General features: G+C 42.4%; 1 protein-coding gene and 1 pseudogene across 3 annotated transcripts in view, besides 2 other annotated features; one reads left to right on the top strand and one right to left on the bottom strand.

The window, feature by feature from the left end:
- Positions 1,521-1,620: an enhancer, noted in NCBI's record as "active region_8587". NCBI's record gives its function as "activates an Ori minimal core promoter by ATAC-STARR-seq in GM12878 lymphoblastoid cells {active_cell/tissue: GM12878}" and the evidence as "EXISTENCE:reporter gene assay evidence [ECO:0000049][PMID:35858748]".
- Positions 1,671-1,840: an enhancer, noted in NCBI's record as "active region_8586". NCBI's record gives its function as "activates an Ori minimal core promoter by ATAC-STARR-seq in GM12878 lymphoblastoid cells {active_cell/tissue: GM12878}" and the evidence as "EXISTENCE:reporter gene assay evidence [ECO:0000049][PMID:35858748]".
- The window catches only part of ZFYVE26 (zinc finger FYVE-type containing 26), an 87,699-nt gene continuing 69,087 nt past the window's right edge, over positions 2,052-20,663 (top strand). For all 3 annotated transcript variants that reach the window (XM_047431173.1, NM_015346.4, XM_011536609.3), the window contains exons 1-11: positions 2,052-2,108; positions 2,596-2,872; positions 4,578-4,656; positions 9,353-9,442; positions 10,722-11,244; positions 11,967-12,097; positions 13,024-13,188; positions 13,337-13,425; positions 14,378-14,541; positions 16,360-16,563; positions 20,020-20,628. In XM_047431173.1, the coding sequence (XP_047287129.1) occupies positions 2,679-2,872; positions 4,578-4,656; positions 9,353-9,442; positions 10,722-11,244; positions 11,967-12,097; positions 13,024-13,188; positions 13,337-13,425; positions 14,378-14,541; positions 16,360-16,563; positions 20,020-20,628 (2,248 nt within the window). In that variant the 5' untranslated portion in view covers positions 2,052-2,108; positions 2,596-2,678. The remainder of the gene's footprint in view (positions 2,109-2,595; positions 2,873-4,577; positions 4,657-9,352; positions 9,443-10,721; positions 11,245-11,966; positions 12,098-13,023; positions 13,189-13,336; positions 13,426-14,377; positions 14,542-16,359; positions 16,564-20,019; positions 20,629-20,663) is intronic.
- On the bottom strand, positions 18,836-19,638 carry LOC100421541 (DnaJ heat shock protein family (Hsp40) member C9 pseudogene; annotated as a pseudogene).

Raw genomic sequence — 20,663 nt, 5'->3', positions numbered from 1 at the left:
TATCTCAAGCACTGATCTTAGGGCTTGCAATAGTGATGTCACCCCCGGGAGCAATTTGGGGAGGTTCAGACTCTTGGAGCCAGAGGCTGCATGACCTCTAAACTGTAATTTCTAAACTTGTAGCTAATTTGTTAGTCCTGCAAAGGCAGACTGGTCCCCAGGCAAGAAGTGGGTCTTTTCGGAAAGGGCTGTTATCAATTTTGTTTCAGAGTCAAACCATGAACTGAATTCCTCCCCAAAGTTAGTTCAGCCTACGCCCAGGAATGAACAAGGACAGCTTAACGGTTAGAAGCAAGATAGAGTCGGTTAGGTCTGATTTCTTTCACTGTCATAATTTCCTCAGTTATAATTTTGCAAAGGCGGTTTCACTTCGGAATGCTGAGGCAGGCAGATCACTTGAGCTCAGGATTTCGAAACCAGCCTGGCCAACATGGCGAAACCCCGCCTCTACTAAACATACAAAAATTAGCCAGACATGGTGGCAGGCACCTGTGATCCCAGCTACTTGGGAGGCTGAGGTGAGAGGAGCCAGACATTGCCTCAAAAAAAAAAAAAACCTTAATGGGCCAGAAAGCCATGTTACTTTTCTCAGGAATCGAGGACAATCCACCAATCACAGAAGAGTTTTTGGAAGAAAACGTTTTGTTTGTTTTAACTTGCTCTTTTCACCACCCTTTGGTGATTAAATAGTTTGGGAAATGCTGAATGAAATTACTAAACCTGAAACACACATAGTGAGGAAAGCTGAGAGTCTGTGATTAAAGCACACCAGGGAAACCAAACAAAAGGCTTGGTGTAAGGCAGCTGTGGTGAGCAAACCTAGTAAGCCGTTACTTCAAGAGTTGGTTTCAGGCTGGGAACGGTGGCTCACGCCCGTAATCCCAGAACTTTGGGAGGCCGAGGTGGGCGGATTGCCTGAGGTCAGGAGTTCGAGACCAGCCTGGCCAACATGGTGAACCCCTGTCTCTATTAAAAATACAAAAATTAGCCGGGTGTGGTGGCGCGCGCCTGTAAATCCCAGCTACTCAGTGAGGCTGAGGCAGAAGAATCGCTTATCCCAGCTACACAGTGAGGCTGAGGCAGGAGAATCGCTTAAACCCGGGAGACGGAGGTTGCAGCGAGCCGAGATCGCGCCATTGCACTCCAGCCTGGGAGACAGAGCGAGACTCTGTCTCAAAACAAAAGACTTGGTTTCAGATTATTGTGTTTGCGAAAAAGCCTTTGCTCATTCTTTGCTCTCTGATCTCTTATGCATACTTCTGTCTTATAATTTAGCCCACCGTCTCCTAATTTTTGGCCTGCATCTCCCTTGAGAAGAAGGACCTCCATTTACTCAACTTAGAGAATAGGGCCTAAGCCCGGTGTAGTGGCGCGCGCCTCTAGTCCCAGCTACTACAGGAAGGCTGAGGCTTAAGGATTACTTGATCCAGGAAGTTCGAGGCTGCCATGAGCCGAGATCACACCACCGCACTCCAGCGACAGAGAGACTCTGTCTCTAAAAAAATAAAATAAAGCCTAGCACACCGTTCAATTAACAGTTGTAGGGTAAATGTGCAAATAAATGAATGGAGTGAAGCAGAAGAATATGGAAATTCAGACCGCAGAGTTCCGGAACAAAAGAGCCCAGTAGATAGAATAATAATGGAGGAGAACCCAGTTCTCCTAGCTCCGGGTATCCCCCGCGCCTGGCAAAACACCATCACTGGTTGGCGTTCAATAAATGTTGACTTCACATGTTAAGGAGATAAGAGAGTGGAAGAAAAAAAAAAATCCAGGGTCACAGTTCTTCCTGCCACCTGCTCGGCCGAATGCAGAACTGAAAGTATTGAGCGCCGGAGCTGTCACAATTGAGGGAGATGGTCCGCAGCCAGGTAGCTGATTTCCTCTTTCCGAGCTTTCTAGCTTTCCCTACTCCCGGAGAGGTGGCGTCACGTGACTCAAACAAATATGGCACTTAATTTTCATCTTCCCTGCCTTGAGCCAATAGGAGTGGGGCTTTCAGTCTTTGTCACCACCCCCACCACCGCTGTTCGGAGTGGGTTCTGTCACCTGACTCGGCTCAAACATGGCTGCGCTGAGAGCTCTATTGCTTTGGGCGCCGGGAGCAGGTGAGTGTAAGACACCCCTGAGAGGGAGGGGCCCCTCTCCACGACCCCCGCAGAGAGCGTCCCTGCGGCCCACCCCCACACTGCTTTCCACTTATGACACAGATTCGTCTCCTGGTCGTCAATCCTCTGCCTTAACAGAGGGCTCAAACTAGGGAGGTTCCTGCTGAATTTCTCATTCTTGAGGAGGCGACCACCTGGGGATTTGGAGTCAAGACTGGGCATAACGTTCAGTAGGGAATACGGACGTAGAGTTATGGGTCTGCGCCCGGAGCAAATATGACTATTAATATTATTAAATATAGGAATCCGCGTGAAGAGATGGGATCCACCCCTTGAAGAAAGTGTTTTCAAAAAGTAACGTGGGAAATTAAACTGAAAACGATACTTAGGCAAGCAAGTCCCGCCTTTCCCAGGCGGACCAGTAGTTGCTGCTTTGTCTTAATACAGTGCCTTCTGTTTCTTCTCACTGGCGTTGTGTTGTTTCTAGGAGGTACTCCGCGAATGAGAACATTGAGAATGTGTTCGGCATAACTCATTTCTTTGTATCTCCCTGCACTCTGTGCTGGGAAAATGAATCATCCATTTGGAAAAGAGGAAGCTGCTTCGCAGAAGCAGCTTTTTGGATTTTTCTGCGAATGCCTGCGGAGGGGAGAATGGGAGCTGGCACAGGCATGTGTACCTCAGCTACAGGAGGGACAAGGGGATATCCCAAAGAGGGTAGAAGACATACTTCAGGCATTGGTGGTGTGTCCAAATCTGCTGAGGTAAGGGATCTCTTTTCCTACCAGACGGTCCCAGGGTGAGAGACATGTGGTTCAATATTTGGGCATTGGTCAATGTGCCCCCACTCAACTACCCTCTGAAGAATAAGCAGAGGCACAGTGTATTTCACGTGCTCTGAAATTTTACCTCTATAGTATACATCCATTACTTAGTCAATATTGGCTTTTGATTATCATCTGCAACTGAATGTAAGCCTGGCTGCCAAAGTGTGCCTGAAACTGCCATTTCTTGTTTATCCTCGTTAATATAGATGGTGGAACTGCATTGAAAACTATTTTCTTTGCCTCCAAAAAAGCAAACCCTGCTCTCTTCTTGCTTATGAGATTGAAAATATTGTTGTCGCTTTACTTAAAACTTTTTATTTCGAAATAATTGCAGTCTCACAAGAAGCTGCAAAAATAATGGAGTCCAGCGTATCCTTTTCCCAGTCTGCCCCAATTGCGACGTCTCATACAGCTGTAGTACAATATCAAAACCATGAAATTGACATTGGCACATTACTTTAAATGACACTACAGAGTTTATTTGGTTTTCAGCATTTTCTTAATCTGCCTTCATTTTTTCATTTGTAGTTTTATGCAGTTTTATCCATATATAGATTCATGTAATCCCACTGTAATAAGGATCAGAACTGTTCCATTACCACAAAAGAATTCCCTCACTCCTTGGTGCTACCTCTTTGTATTTATACAACAACCCCTCCTTGTTCCCTGGCAACCACAGTTCTCCATCCTTGATTTTCAATGAAGTTCCTCCTGGTGATGCTAGTAACCACTGGTGATGTAGGAGTCAAATGTACCGTTTTAAGTCTTTCCTTGGGTTTTCCTTCCTTTGACTGTTATGCTATACTGTTTACATATTGTATTAGCACATATACGATGGAGAAACTTAAGTGATCCCTTCCTTTTCTTTTTCTCCTTTAATTTGAGATCTAGCCAGTTACCGTCTAAATTCCTAACTTCAAAGAAAGGCTTATGAATTCCTAAAGTCCTGTTTTTAGCATATAGTTAAAAATAAATTTGTATGAAGTTCCTTTTTTAAGACTGTCTGATTCACTTTCTGTATTAAAAATATGCTTCAGATAGTATTAGCTATTATGGTTTTCTCGAATATTATTTTATTTTAAACTAAGATAAGGAGGTGGAGGTGAGATTAAGGCTTTTTATGAAAGCTGCTAGCTCTGTTCTGGTTCTGATTTGTTTGTTTGTTTGTTTGTTTGTTTGTTTGTTTTGGAGACAGAGTCTTGCTCTGTCACCCAGGCTGGAGTGCAGTGGCATGATCTAGGCTCACTGCAACCTCCGCCTCCCAGGTTCAAGCGATTCTCCTGCCTCAGCCTCCCGAGTAGCTGGGACTACAGGCGCCTGCCACCGCACTTGGCTAATTTTTGTATTTTTAGTAGAGATGGGGTTTCATTATGTTGGCCAGGTTGGTCTCGAACTCGTGACCACAGGTGATCCACCCACCTCAGCCTCCCAAAGTGCTGAGATTACCGGTGTGAGCCACCTTGCCTGGCCTGGTTCCAATGTTTTACTGAACTGTCATATACATTTAAAAATATCTCATTAGGGCAGTGTCTTGCCTGTTCAGGTTTAAAACAGAATAAGCAATGAAATCTGTCTTGGATGACAAAAGATGAAAGATCAGTAGAAACTCTTTTTTACAAGTCTTTCTTTTTACCTTTTTCAGATGTGGGCAGGACATCAACCCTCAAAGAGTAGCCTGGGTCTGGCTTCTTGTACTGGAGAAATGGTTGGCCCGGGAAAAGGTAAGTAGGTTTATATTAAATTTTCCTCCGAGGCCAGGACTGAGAAGAACTTGAAAGTAGTTGTGGGATTTCCCTTCTGTCTGTTACTTCCTTTATCATTAAATTCATCATACTCATTCTCAAAGAATGGCTTAAATTTTTATTGCTGTCTCCTTACCTAAATTCATTCATTAATGCACTAATATACATTGGCATATATTACTGTTTGTTAAATACCACCATGAGTCTTGTGCCTAAAGAGAACTTTTGGAAACTCAGTGAAGGTAACAAAATAGCAAATAAAATATGAATCTGTAACATTTGGATCTATTCAACATTTAAGTAATAGAGAATGGGCTGAGCTGAAACTTGGTTTTTCTTCCAAAAATCATATTTTAACTAGCCTAATTCCATGACATCTCATAGATTCAAATTCCATTAATTCATAGTTTAATAATTCACATGAATTGAACAGAAAATTACCAGATATAAAAACAAGTAAGCAAATTAATATTGAAAAAAAAAACCTGGTAAGGAATTACCTTTTTTAAAGATAAACTTCCATTAAAAGTCCTTTTAGAAGTATGTTAATTATCAGAAATTTATATCTTATAAAAGAATTACTCTGAGACATTTTCATATTGAACTTCAGACTTTGAGATTTAAGTGAAGAACCTCTAACTTAGAAATGACTGGCCCAAGGACACACCGTAAAGTTATTTGACAGAGCTGGTGCTGAAACCAAGATCTTCTGACCTCAATCCTCTGCTTTTTCCACCTTAACACTACTTTTTTAGCCCAGATGGACTTTAAGAAACCACAAATTCTACTTTTAAAATGTCTGTAATTTCGCCAGTTTTTTAAATTTTTGCTCCTCTCGGTCACCAGAATTAATTTTGTCTTTGGTTCCACTTTTGCATGATATTTATCGTTCCTCACAGAGCTGTCAAAAAGTAACAGAAATTGCTAATCTGAATGTATCTCTTATCCAGGATTTAGCCAGTTGTTTAGGAAAGAAAAATGACAGAAAGACTAGTAGGAGCGAGAAGAAAGAAAAACAAGATTGAAACATAATGAAACCCAGCATCATTAAGAGTTGGCTATGGTTTCAGATTTAAAAGAGAAAACTTGAACTAAAATAGTAACCTATAGTTACTATAGTATCTTCAAAGAGAAAAAGAACTATTGTTACTGATTAAGGGATCTCTCTAGTACAAACATGGAATTTGTCAAATCAAATTAACTTTCCCCTCAGTAGAGACTATTTGCTTACTTTATATCTGAATGGTTGCTTATTTTCTAGACAGTTGCTCAACTATGTCAGGAGATGGATTCCACTTCCCGTTCTTGTTTTTCCCAGGTTCACAAATAGATTATTTGGTCTTTAAAGCTTCAATGACTTGCTTATTTAAACAGTTGTGGGACTATTTTAGTTCCTCATAGAATTTTAAAACTATATAAGCACCATGGCGTCCAGTGAATTCTTGGGGTAGTTTTCCAAGTCCAGTCATTATCCTGAAGGTGCCTTCATCATCTAGGAATTTACTGGCTGCCTGTCCTTTTCCAGGTTCCCACCTTTTGCCAAAAGCTTCCCTTTTAATTATTAGATGAAATAGTGATTCTATTTTCCCTTTCCTCCATTCATTTTTGCCTTCTGCCTTTTAATCTTGCAGAGATGTATCTCTCCATGTGTAAGCAATTATACAAAGATTTAGCTGCAGAAATGTTCACGTCTATGCTACTTCTATTAGAAGAAAACTGAAACAACTCCCATGTCCATAGTATAGGACAGGTTAATAAATGGAAATATATCTATATGTAAAATACTATACCACTATTCAAAAGTATTTGGCAAATGAGTTTTCACTAACATAGAGTGTTCATGGTCTGCTGTATGGGAAAAAAGGCAGTTTAGAAAAAAGTACATTTGGTATACATGCATAGAGATGTGCATAGCAAATGGTCTGAATGAATGGCCTTAGACCACAGTTTTCATAATTGTTCTCCTTCAGTGAGAATATATATAAAATATATATTTCATATATAATATGTTATATGTAATATATTTCATATGTGATATATATTTCATATATAATACATGTTATATATCATATATTTTATATTTGTTATATATCATAAATTTCATATATGTTATATATTATATATTTCATATGTAACTAAATACACCAATTAAATTTGTAAAATTACAAAATTAAATATACAAATAAGCAAACTAACATATGTTATATATATTATATTGCACTAAAATATAACATATATGTTACATATCTCTCTCTAGGATAAAACACTTTATCTTAGAGAAATAGCAGAAATAAGACTAACTGGACATACATATGTTTTATATATATATAACATATTTTAGTTTACTTATTTGTATATTCAATTTTTCTACATTGAACATGCCTTGCTCTTGTAACCGTAAAGTTATTTGACAGAACTGCTGCTGAAACCAAAATCTTCTGACCTCAATCCTCTGCTTTTTCTGCCTTAACACTACTTTTTTAGCCCAGATGGACTTAAAACTAAGAAACCACAAATTCTACTTTTAAGATGTCTATAATTTTGCCAGTTTTTTAAATTTTTGCTCCTCTCGGTCACCAGAATTAATTTTGTCTTTGGTTCCACTTTTGCATGACATCCTTGCTTAGAAATGCTGAGCAAATTCTTGCCTATTTTAGGAAGATAAATGTTAGTCAATTATGATCCTGAATATGTTTAAAGTAGTTTCAGCAGTAAAATAAGTATAATCTACTCAGTCTTTAGGATTCTAAATAAAATCTTAGCCAGGCTATTAAGGATCTGCTGTCCTAGACATCTTATCTATTCTTTTCTGTTAGTCTTCAATAGAAGCACTAATCCTCAGCTTCCCAGCATGAATTTTATCCACCAGCTTCCAATCACAGGCATTATACAAGCATTCACATGGCCTTGATGCACATATTAGGGAAGTACATGGTTAGAAGAAATAAGATTTTGGACCAAGAACACATTAGATCATGTTAGCCTCTGATGTGGTGAATGGTACATGAATGGAGATAGTTAGGTCTTGTGCTCTAAACTCTCCTCACTCATGTACACACACACACCTGCAGCTGTACACACACACACACTCTCACACACACACATCCCTGCAGGTGTTCCTTGCCTTCCAATAAAACTTATCTTTGGGAAGCTTTAACCAGAGGCAAGATTGACAGATGTCTCATATTTAAGGTAGTGTTTGTCAGGATAAGTCTCAGACTCTTGCTATTTTTATTTGTGTCTGGAAAAGGGGAGACTCCAATTTGTGTGTTAGGGACCAGGTGAAGGTAAGTTATTGTGAAACAAGCAGGCGCAGGAAGAGTCAGAGCCTTTGTCTCTATATATTAGACCTCTCTGATGGCACATCTCATTAACAAACACTGGGATCACCTTTTCCTTTTTGTTTGAAAAAATTGGGAAAAATGCTTCCTAACCATTTTACCTCTAGTAAAGATTATTTGTAAAAAATATATAAATATGTGCCACAGTTTTGTTTGATTTGGAAATTAAGTGTATTAAGAATAAAATATGGCACACAGTACCTGTGAGGTACTGGCATATAATAAGTGTTTAATAAACATTGGATTTCTCCCCTTATACTGTTCTTCTTTCACTGCTATGCAAAGGATAGTGAATGACAAAAACAGAGGTTTGGACCAAAAGAGGATCATGTGGGCCATACCCTCCCAGGCTTACCCACAACTGGGTGTTTTGAACACAACAAGAGAGATTCTTGGGGAAAGACCTCAAGTGACAAAAAAGGTTAATGAAATGAACAAACCTTGGAACTTACGGCTGATCAGTGTGGGCTTTAAGTATTAGTTTTTAAGAGAAGTGTATGTCCAAGTTTAGCTATTTTTGTTTATAAAGAATAGTATCTGTGCCAGGCACGGTGGCTCACGCCTGTAATCCCAGCACTTTGGAAGGCCGAGGCAGGCGGATCACGAGGTCAGGAGATCAAGACCATCCTGGCTAACACGGTGAAACCCCATCTCTACTACAAATACACAAAATTAGCCAGAAGTGGTGGCACACGCCTATAGTCCCAGCTTCTCGGGAGCCTGAGGCAGGAGAATCGCTTGAACCCAGGAGGCGGAGGTTGCAATGAGCTGAGATTGCGCCACTACACTCCAGCCTGGGCAACAGAGCGAGACTCTATCTCAAAAAAAAAAAAAAAAAAAAGAGAAAAGAATAGTACTGAAAACATATCCAGGAATGTTGTGTTTAAAAGTACTTTATCTTAGGCCAGGCGTGGTAGCTCACATCTGTAATCCCAGCACTTTGGGAGGCCGAGGTGAGTGGAACACTTGAGGTCAGGAGTTCCAGACCAGCTTGGCCAAATGGTGACACCCTGTCTCTAATAAAAATATAAAAATTAGCTGGACGTGGTGGTGCGCACCTGTAATCCCAGCTACTCGGGAGGCTGAGGCCTGAGAATCGCTTGAAGCTGGGAGGTGGAGGTTGCGGTAAGCTAAAATCATGCCACGGTACTCCAGCCTGGGGAACAGAGCAAGACTCTGTCTCAAAATAAAAAAAAAAAAAAAAAAAAAAAAAAAGAGTGCTTCATCTTAGAGAAATAGCAGAAATAAGACTAACTGGACAGAAATATTTAATTATAATTTGTTAACTAAAACATATATCTCATCTCTATGCTTCATTCTTTTGATTCTTCTAGAAGTTACTCCCAGTTGTTTTCCGGAGAAAGCTTGAGTTTCTTTTATTGTCAGAAGACCTCCAAGGTGACATTCCAGAGAACATCCTCGAGGTGAGAGAGAGCCCTGGTACCATCTGCCCAGGGTTGACAGTCACTTAAGCAGCTTAGCTTCCATGGACCCAGAAGAGAGAGGTCTCCAAGATGTTGCCCATACTTTGTTCTCAGGCAAGGCAACACAGAAGCTCCTTTGAGGAGAGTTTAGAGTTAGGGTAAACTTATATGATTTTAGAATTTTTGATGTGGTTGTCCAGAAGTACCAAGTATAACTGGGAATTAAAGATTTATTAGTAGATAGCAGGGAATATGAAGGGGACAAGGAACTAGTATTCGTTGACTATCTTTTCTATAACAGGGTCACTGAATGTGTTAGAGTTAATTCTCATAACAACCTTCTGGGGGTAGATTCAAATTAAGTCTTAATTATATCGTTATAGCATGTATCAGTTACTACTTTAGTGCCTGAGATATGCTCTGAGGCCCAATACTTATTTTTTTAATGACCCTGACACCAGTTAATTAAAGACATATTTACAGTAGGATTTAAGAGAGGGACTTTCACTTGTATTAGGTAAAGGACTCATGGTCTTGCAGTCCATCTCTGAGGCAGTTAATGAAGTGGCATCATCGAGTACCATCTATAGGCATGATGCTTAAGTATGGGAAATAACCTACTTCTCACCCCCTTCTCTCCCTGTACCCTCACCCTGCAAACAGAGGATAGGCTCTAGAGGTTCTTGCTTTTAGGTGACTGAGGAAGAAGGACTAAAACACACACTATTATGTATTAAATCATATGGTACTAATTTTAAGTACATTGAAGTTGTATGGGTTGGAGGTATTGGAGAAGGTTTTTGTAGTAGGATAAAGAATGGACTGAAAGCATGGCTGGGATTTAGATCAAGGGTTAAAAACTGACATTCTTTTAAAAATTGAATGTAAATGCCTTTAGATGGGCATAATGTCTTACCTGGTCTGTGAGTTGGCAGACCTTGATTCACATCACCAGTACACATTTTGGAGGCAGTGAGGTGGGACTAGCTGGAGCATGGAGGCCCTGGGCAATTGAGTTCATCTCTTCCAGCCTCCAACTCCTCATTTATAAAATAGGAGTAATAGTAGTGTCTTCCTCTGAAGACTATTGTAAGGATTAATTTGATTTTTCTGTGTAAAGGGCCTTAGAACAATGTCTAACACATAGTAACTACGACATAAGTATTTGTTACCGCCACTATTATATAAGTAAACTGAAAAAGAGGAAAGCATGAAGGCACACAAGTGATACCATTCCAGGCATGCCCACCACCCATCCTTTTCTTCATCCTCTATTTAGGAGCTGTATGAGACCTTAACACAGGGTGCAGTAGGCCACGTGCCTGACGGAAATCCAAGGAGGGAGAGCTGGACTCCTCGTCTCAGCTCCGAAGCTGTCTCTGTGCTCTGGGATCTCCTGAGGCAGTCTCCCCAGCCAGCACAGGCCCTGCTGGAGCTCCTGCTTGAGGAGGATGACGGTACTGGCCTCTGTCACTGGCCTCTGCAGAATGCACTGGTGGACCTCATTCGAAAGGCATTGCGGGCTTTGCAGGGCCCTGATTCGGTGCCCCCTGGGGTAGTCGATGCCATCTATGGAGCCCTGCGGACTCTGCGTTGCCCCGCAGAACCACTTGGGGTTGAGTTGCATCTCCTGTGTGAGGAACTACTAGAGGCCTGCAGGACCGAGGGGAGTCCCCTGCGGGAGGAGCGGCTGCTCAGCTGCCTGCTGCACAAGGCCAGCCGGGGCCTGCTGTCCCTGTATGGCCATACCTATGCAGAGAAGGTCACAGAAAAGCCACCGAGGGCTACAGCCTCGGGAAAAGGTGTGTTCCCTTTGCTGCTGCTCCTTTAGTTTCAGTAATTCCAGTATGCCCAGCCTTGCTGGAGGCTCTAGACTGCTGCCTTCCGTGTGGCTCAGGACATCTAATAGGGGAGGCTAAGCAAAAATGGGTGCGATGCTCTTTCGTAAAAGTACAGGCCTGGCATGGTGGCTCAGGCCTGTAATCCTAGTACTTTGGGAGGCCAAGGCAAGGAGGATCATGTGAGGCTAGGAGTTCAAGATAAGCCTCTGCAACATAGTGAGTTCCCATCTCTACAAAAAAAATTTAGAAATTAGCTAGGCGTGATGGCACACACCTGTGGTTCAAGCTACTTGAACCACAGGCAGGAAGGCTGAGGCAGGAAGATCACTGAGCCCAGGAGGTGGAGGCTGCAGTGAACCGTGTTTGCACCGCTGTATTCCAGCCTGCATGACAGAGTGAGACCCTATCTCAAAATAAATAAATAAATAAAAGTATAGGTTTTCTAGTGTAAGATAGAGGTGTTGGGAGGAAAAAAAATAAAGTAATAGCAATAGCAGGAAACAGCTTTTCTGAAGCTCCCAAGGGAAGTAAAGATTCTTTAAGATACCCTAAGATAAAGTATGGAAAACCCAGCCTAAGTTTTTAAAAGAGCAAACTCTCACATCACTTGGTTGTTCAAATGGGCTCTAGCTTAGAAAAGAAGAGTTCTTGGTTTCCTGATAACCGTCTTGTTTGATGTTCAGTCTCACCGGATCATCTAGATCCTGAGCGGGCAATGCTAGCCCTGTTCTCCAATCCCAACCCAGCCGAGGCTTGGAAAGTGGCCTATTTCTACTGCCTGAGCAACAACAAACACTTCCTCGAGCAGATTCTGGTAAGTCAAGCTTAATTGTTCATCACAGAGGTACCCAGGGATTCTCCCCAGACTTTTTCATTCCTCATTTCTCTCCCACTCATTTGGCCACCATAAAGCAGTCTAATTAGTGTTGAGTCATTTGGTTTTGTCCCTCCCACAGTCCCATGGGAAAGGAGACTCTGAGAATCAGTGCCATTCATACTTACAGTTGCAGTCATTTTACATCGGTCCTTTGGCAGAAACTAAAATGTTGTATATGTATGTGCTTTCTGGAGGATGCAAGAAAGAAAAGGCAGTGGCAACAATATGTTGCCTAGCTGACAGGAGAATTTAATTACTTTAACCTTTTCCTTCCAGATTGCAACTGGGCTTCAGTTTAATTCAGCAGATATTTATTAATCTCATCCTCTGTGCCATGTACTGTAATAGGAGCTGGAGTTACAACAGAAGTCAGTCTCTGCCTTCAGGGAGCTCACAGTCTAGTGTTTTCATAAACATTTATTTTACTCAATTCACCACTTCTATTTTTTTGTTTTTGAGACAGAGTTTCCCTCGTCACCCAGGCTGGAGTGGAGTGGCGCGATCTCGGCTCATTGCAACCTCTGCCTCCTGGGTTCAAGCGATTCTCCTGCCTCAGCCTCCCAAGTAGCTGGGATTACAGGCATGTGCCACCATGCCGGCTAATTTTCTATTTTTAGTAGAGATAGGGTTTCCCCATGTTGGCCAGGCTGGTCTCAAACTCCTGACCTCAAGTGATCCACCTGCTTTGGCCTCCCAAAGTGCTGGGATTACAGGCATGAGCCACTACGCCCAGCCAACCACTCCTGTTATTGTCAGAAATCTCCCTGCTGTACTAAAATACTTCTTTCTCTAAAGAGCAGTAAGCTAGAACCCATTCTGTCTCATCCACATAGCTGCCTATAACAGCTTTCTTTGACTTACAGGTAACAGCACTAACATTGTTGAAAGAAGAAGACTTCCCAAATCTTGGCTGCCTACTTGATAGAGAATTCAGGCCCCTCAGTTGCCTGCTTGTACTCCTGGGCTGGACACACTGCCAGAGCCTAGAGTCAGCCAAGAGGCTGCTCCAGACCCTGCACAGGACCCAGGTAACTCTCACTCAGCATCCCAGGCTGCTCTGGAAGTGAGAGACGTGGGGCTTCGGGCTTAGGCTGAATGCAGAGCCCTAAAATCAGTCATAATCTGTAACCCCAGGTGCCTGAGTCAGCATCTCTTTCTTCTCCCATATCAACATAGGGCCCAGGCTGTGATGAGCTCCTCAGGGATGCCTGTGATGGGTTGTGGGCTCACCTGGAGGTCCTGGAGTGGTGCATACAGCAGAGCAGGTATGGCCCTGTGCAGTCAGCGCCTGCCCACCACAGGGCACAGCTGACCCTGTGCTCCGCATGTGTGGCCATTTCAAGGCGTTTTCCACATAAATGTTTTGAGTTGGCAATGTTGACCAGCTACTAAAAATTGTTCCAACAATTAAACCAAGAAAGAAACACAAGTAATTATTACCTTCACCATGACAATCAGGTCATAACTGGAGGATAATTTTAGGATGACAGTAACAAAAAGAACAATAGCTCGCATTTCCAGTGCACTTACCATAAGCTAGGCATTGTTCTAAGCCCTTTACATGGATGATTTCAATTAAGCCTCACAATAATCCTATGGGTAGATACCAATATTATCTTCATTATAAAAGTCAGGCAACTGAAGCCCACAGGTATAAAATAACTTGTCCAAAGTCACACAGCTCACAATGTCATCCACATTCTTAGTCTTACGTTATCCTGGATCACACTTTTATTCAACAAATGCTTACTGAACTGTGCATGAGGCCCTGTGTTTCTCTGGTAACTTAGCCTGGACTTAGGTTTCTATCTTGTTCTTCACTCACTTCACCAGCACTTTCTGAAGTAGAGTAGGCAGAGGGGGAAGTAGCAAGGGGCTCTTACTCAAAGTACAGCCAGAGAAACTTGTGTTCATTTGAAGCTGGAGAGGGTGTAGAAATTAGAAAATTCAGTCTGTAGGACCTTTCTAGACCCTACTGATCTGAAAGGCCCTTTCTAGGACCTTTCTAGACAACTAGAGCTGGTTTGATAGATGTACTTCCCTGAGGGTAAATAAATGTTAGGCTCAGTCCCAAACCAACTAAAATTTAGATTGTAGGGAAGGGAAGCCTGTGGCATTATGGTCCAGAGAGGAAGAACAAGAGGGAATGGAGATTGATCTTTCTTCGAGCAATAATATAAACTGCCTCTCTTCCATCCTCCCAACTTTTCCATTCAGCAACCCCATACCAAAGAGAGATCTGTTGTATCATTTACACGGTGGAGACAGCCACTCAGTGCTCTACACTCTCCATCACCTTACAAACCTTCCAGCCCTCAGGGAGGAAGATGTTCTCAAGCTCTTACAGAAAGTGCCAGCCAAGGACCCCCAGCAAGAGCCTGGTGAGTTGGGATGGAATGACCTGGCCAGGATTTCCTCTTAGGACATTCTTACACATTTCTTCCAGCATGAGATTTATCCAGATGTGATTGCTGAGATCTTTCAAGAGGGTGGTGAGGAGGTCTCCTCTAAATGAGCACTGTTTGTCCTAATCAGTTTATGGGATATAGGGCATTCCTCCTCTTCCTTGGTGAGGTGTAGGGAATCCTGTGAGTATGATCCTGCATTCTTTGTCCTTGTGGAACCATCACAGGAACCACTACTACAGCCTCATTCCAGTGAAACAGAATTAGAAATTGCCCTCTGAATACACAGCATTGTTAGTCAGTGTTTATGCAAATTCTTAGTGAGTGGCTTCATGTTTTATAAGCTTTCTGATAGCATGTTTTGTGCCTTTTCTCCCATGTCCACTTCATACTCCATATAACAGATCAGGAGATTTAGAAGAAAGACTTGCCTGGGCTGGGCGCAGTGTCTCACGCCTGTAATCCCAGCACTTTGGGAGGCCGAGGCAGGTGGATTGCTTGAGGTCAGGAGTTCAAGACCAGCCTGGCCAACATGGTGAAACCCCGTCTCTACCAAAAATATAAAAAATTAGCCGGGTGTGGTGGTGCGCGCCTGTAATCCCAGCTACACGGGAGGCTGAGGCAGGAGAATCACTTGAACCCGGGAGGTGGAGGTTGCAGTCAGCCAAGATGGTGCCACTGTACTCCAGCCTGGGGGACAGAGGGAGACTCCATCTCAAAAAAAGAAGAAGACTTGTCTGAAACGGGAACAAAGCCTTTTTTTAACCTAAGATCTTTGCTTAAATTCAAGACCCCATTAAAAAGCTCTTTTTCTTTAAGTTTTATCTTATTTCCCTCCCCTCTCAGATGAATTCTCACCATGGTTTTTTGTTCATTTGTTTGTTTTTGAGAAGGAGTCTTGCTATGTTGCCCAGGCTAGTCTCAAACTCTTGGGATCAAGTGATCCTCCTGTCTCAGCCTCCCCAGTAGTTGGGACTACAGGCACTTATCACTATACCCCATATAGTTTTACCCTATTTTTAATTGACTAATAGTAATTGTATCTATTTTGGGAATACAAGTGATGTGTTGATGCATATATACATTGTGGAATGTATACATTTCTTTTTGTTCTTAAGAAACGTATCATTGTATAGTCACAATCTGCCCCACAGGACAGAGACACTTACTTTGAGAGACACAAACTTTCTTACATGGCATTTGAGGTTTCCCAGCCTGGATGTTGCTTTACTTTTCAAAAGGACCTACTACTAATTGGAGAACCAGTGTTATTACATTCCATGTTTTTTTTTTCTGGAAAGATAGGCAGCTTGTTTAACAGATTTCCTGTAGGAATACGAACTCTGCTCTTACATGCAAGTATACAGGCCTTCCAAAGAAATACAGTATTTTAAGTCTGATCCCTGGACCCACTGGGGCACACTTCAAAAAGGCAAAAAAGAGGCAATAATAAGGCTGCAACTAGGGTGAGGCAAGAGAGACATTTAAGGTGCAAAATTTAAGGAGGCACTCACTGTCAGGTGCAAGTCCTGGCCCTGGGCAATAATGCCATGTAGAAGTCATGAGATATGTAGAAGGGAGGTGAGTGGGGGAAAGGAAGTGCAGGGAACTGAAAGTTGATACTGACTTGAGGAAAAGCCCTAGAAGTGACACAGATCAGACCGACAGAAAGGAGAGAGGGTAAGAACCTACAAGTGGACCTCTAAGTATGGCACAGCATCTCTTTGCTTCACCCATACTTGCATCCTGAATTAATTAACTCTCAAGTTCAGCCTGTTTCTCTTTGTAATTCAGATGCAGTTGATGCTCCAGTCCCTGAGCACCTGAGCCAGTGTCAGAACCTGACACTCTACCAGGGCTTCTGTGCCATGAAGTATGCCATCTATGCCCTCTGTGTAAACTCACACCAGCACTCCCAGTGCCAGGACTGCAAAGACAGCCTCTCTGAGGACCTGGCCTCAGCTACAGAGCCAGCGAATGACTCTCTCTCCTCCCCAGGTACAGCACTTCCCTCCATCCGTGAGATAAGCTGATAACAACACATGCCAGTGGGTGCTTTGTGTGTTTACCCTCTTCCACCAAGATTGGGAGTGGGGTGATGGCCTTGGTTTTATTTCACCCAGGGATAGTTTCATCCATCTGTCAGCCTCTGAATCAAAGGGACATGGAAAAAGAAAGTGATTGCCTAAGTTTTAACAGAGTCTGATCACCTAGTATGGTGTTTTCCAAACGCTTTTTTAAAAACTATATTTCACGGTAGGAATAGCATTTTACATCCTACTCCAGTTTGCACCTAGGTATATAATTTGTGTGTTTACATATGTATGTGTATATATGTGATATATAAACTAAGTTTTAAAAACAATGCTTACTTCATAGAGCACACTCCTGATTATTTTTCTTTCCTATTTCATCTTTTTAAATGTAGTCTTCTAAGGCAATTTCATAGGTCACAGCCTACAGTGTGAAAAGTACCAACCTAATGGTCCTATCCTCTCTCATTTTTCTTAATAATTTAACTTGCCTTCTGTGACTGACTAGTGATCAGTTTTCCCTCTCTCCTAGCTTTGGAATAGATCTTTACCTCTTAGCATGGTCATTTTTGCCTATTAAGGATTTCTTAAGAGATCTAAGTAGGCGTGATCATCTTTAGTGTAAAAATAAGTGGAAATAGAATTGAGGAGTAAAGGGTCTGCATGTTACCTTCATTCCTGGAACTGAAATATAGAGTCCTTATCAGGGATGAGGAACAATGTAACATTTACAAAGCAGATACAAAATAATGAGTTTTAGTTTTCAGTAAGCTGTACTTTTTTTTTTTTCTTTGAGACAGAGTCTTGCTCTGTTGCCCAGGCTGGAGTGCAGTGGTTTGATCTCAGCTCACTGCAACCTCCGCCTCCTGGGTTCAAGCAATTCTCCTGCCTCAGCCACCTGAGTAGCTGGGATTATAGGCTCCCACCACCAAGCCTGGCTAATTTTTGTATTTTAGTAGAGATGGTGTTTCACCAGTTGGCCAGGCTGGTGTCGAACTCCTGACGTCAGGTGATGCACCCACTTCAGCCTCCCAAAGTGCTGGGATTATAGGCATGAGCCACTGCCCATGGCCAGCTGTACTTTTATTTATTTATTTATTTATTTATTTATTTATTTATACGGTAACTTTTTATTATACCAAGGTGTTCTAATGCCATTATATGAAGACAGATGCTTCAAACAACCTGCATTAAATTATATTTTTAATACAATTAAAAACTATTTTTAACCTATTTGTAGCCACAAACTGAAAATGTGTCGACTTTACCTTAGAGCTAAAGGCTTACTTTATGCATATGGTATATTTAATAGTCTACAAATCAAAGATTCAAACAGACCCTAAAAACATTCCATATATTCTCATACCAACTCATCTACATAGAAATGAAAATCTATGTATTGTTCTCACAAACCGTTACTATGAGTTCACTATAACAACTGGATCAATATGGCTTGTCTTTCAAAGTTAGACAGTCAGAAAGGGGCCTCTAAGAAGTCATTTAGCCCAATTCCCTCACCCTGTGTGTTTTCTCTCAAAGCCAGTGCAATTTTTTTTTTAACCAAAAAACTGGACATATTTAATACATACAGTTTGAAAAGTTTGGATTTCACTCTTTGTTTTGATGTAATATCTCTTTTATAAAAGGAAACAGATTCAGACAAGCTCAGTGGCCCAACTCAAGACATTCAGCAATTAGTGGCAGGACTATAACATACATCTCTTTATGCTAGGGAAACCAGGCTGTCTATTATAAAGCTGACCAGGGCTATTGTTTTCCCCTTTTCTCTCATCCTAAACACCATTCACATTTTTTCTAGGTCACATTTTACTGGGATCATTTACAAAGCCCCCAGAACTTAACTATCATGTTTTACTTTTTTTATTTAATCATATACAACTCTTACAAAAATGCTTAAAGTAATTTAATACCTGTACATCAGTACAAAACCTGGCTGAGTAAAATGAAGACAGGGTCTATTCAAGATCATTAAGACCAAATGTAAAATGGGAAGGATGTGGAAGATAGCTGTCCAGCAAGTGTTTGGAAGGTATTCTAGCTGGGTAGAGAGCCTATTCTAACAGACAACGCACATCACAGAAAACAACATGAACAGAACCACATCCTAGATAGAGTTCTGTGTACAGAAGATCCATGGAGGCAAGTGCTGTCAGGAAGGACACTGCCTCCCTCCGCCCTCCCAATTGTCACCACCAAGTTCCTTCAGGTGAGACCTCACACAATGTCAAGTGCTTTCTAGGAAATGCTAAGATCAGGTTGAGAGATTCTGCTTGGCCTAGTCAATCTGAAAAATTCAGGCTGGAAAGACACCTTTTCTCAAGAGTTGAGTTGACTTTTGCCTTCAAATCTTGCCAGCACCTTGCCTACCATGGCATCAATTTACACCTAAGGACCTTTGAAGAGAAAAATTCTATTATTTCTTTTATTTCTTGAGAGCAGATTTTTTCCCTCCTCCTTTGGAAGACTTGCAGTACTTTGCTTCCATCTGAGCCAGAAAACTGTCCATTTCCTTTTGCCGATCCTTTTGTCTGCTCTGAATGGCTGCCTTCAGGCTATCCACGCCTTCATCAAGCCCCAACTCCTTTCTGCTCGTTTCTGCTTCTTTGGCCTCTTCCTGAGCCCTCCTTTTCCTTGCATTCATCTTTTGTTTCGATTCTTTGACAAAGGCCTTATAGGATTGCACCGCTCTGGCGTCAATAGCTTGCTGAACAATATTCCTTATCCTGGGTTCCTCTGTGTACTGCACGCAAAGCACAGACTCCATGATCTGATCCATGTCACCCTTGAAGTCCAGATAGGCCTGTTTAATATCAGCCAGCTCTTCTTCTGAACCTTTGTATGTCTTTTCAAAAGCTTGAATGTCCTCTAAAGATATCTTTTTAAAGAGTAGCCGCCAGTACGCCTCCTAGTCTAGGTCTTGGGTGAGCACTGGAGAGTCCTCGTCCACTGTTCCCTGCTCATCGTACACTGCTCTCTGTTCTTTGTCACTGGGAACGGAATAGACTTTTCCCAGGATCTGAGGGCAGAGAGTATCCGTAAATCACCCCCGCCCCTCCCACCGAAACCGCGGCGCGAGAAATAAAGATCAGAGGCGCCAAGCGGAGCTCAGCGCCCTCCCCGGGGGCGGGGCCTGGTGGCCAAAAGGCTGGGGAGGCCCGGTTGGCCTCGGGGCGGGACCCGGCCAGCTGTACTTTTAAAATGGCAAAATCTTTCTGCAAATCATTAAAAGACATCCTAAGTCTCTTATTCTTCTCACTGTAACCTCAGTTCCCTTATAATTAAAAAATAAATAAATGAGCTAAAGTTGCGAGAATGTTTGACGCTGGGAGGTAATGTTTCTAATGTTTGCATTCTCTGTCTTCTCTTTCTCTGGCCTCTTCTCTTGTACATGTTTTTGTAGGTGCTGCAAATCTCTTCTCAACTTACCTGGCCAGGTGTCAACAGTATCTGTGCAGTATTCCTGACTCTCTGTGCCTGGAGCTTCTGGAAAACATCTTCTCATTGCTTCTCATCACCTCTGCTGATCTTCACCCAGAGCCTCACTTGCCTGAGGACTATGCTGAGGATGATGACATTGAGGGGAAGAGCCCCTCAGGTTTGAGGTCCCCATCAGAGAGCCCTCAGCACATAGCACATCCTGAAAGGAAGTCAGAACGGGGTTCCCTGGGAGTCCCAAAGACCCTTGCTTATACAATGCCAAGCCATGTGAAGGCAGAGCCAAAAGACAGTTACCCAGGGCCTCATAGGCACAGCTTTTTGGACTTAAAACACTTTACTAGTGGTATCAGTGGATTTCTGGCTGATGAATTTGCAATAGGGGCCTTCCTCAGGCTTCTCCAAGAGCAACTGGATGAGATCAGTAGCCGCAGCCCTCCTGAGAAGCCAAAGCAAGAAAGTCAGAGCTGCTCAGGAAGCAGAGATGGACTGCAGAGCCGCCTGCATCGACTTTCCAAGGTTGTCTCTGAGGCCCAGTGGAGACACAAGGTGGTGACAAGCAACCATCGTTCAGGTGAGAGAAGGGTGGAACTGGTGGGACCAGAAGGT

The sequence above is a fragment of the Homo sapiens genome, chromosome 14 (genome assembly GCF_000001405.40).
Source record: "Homo sapiens chromosome 14, GRCh38.p14 Primary Assembly".
NCBI lineage: Eukaryota > Metazoa > Chordata > Mammalia > Primates > Hominidae > Homo > Homo sapiens.
The sequence above is the reverse complement of the archived record's forward strand: the minus strand, read 5'-3'. Positions and strand labels throughout refer to the sequence as shown.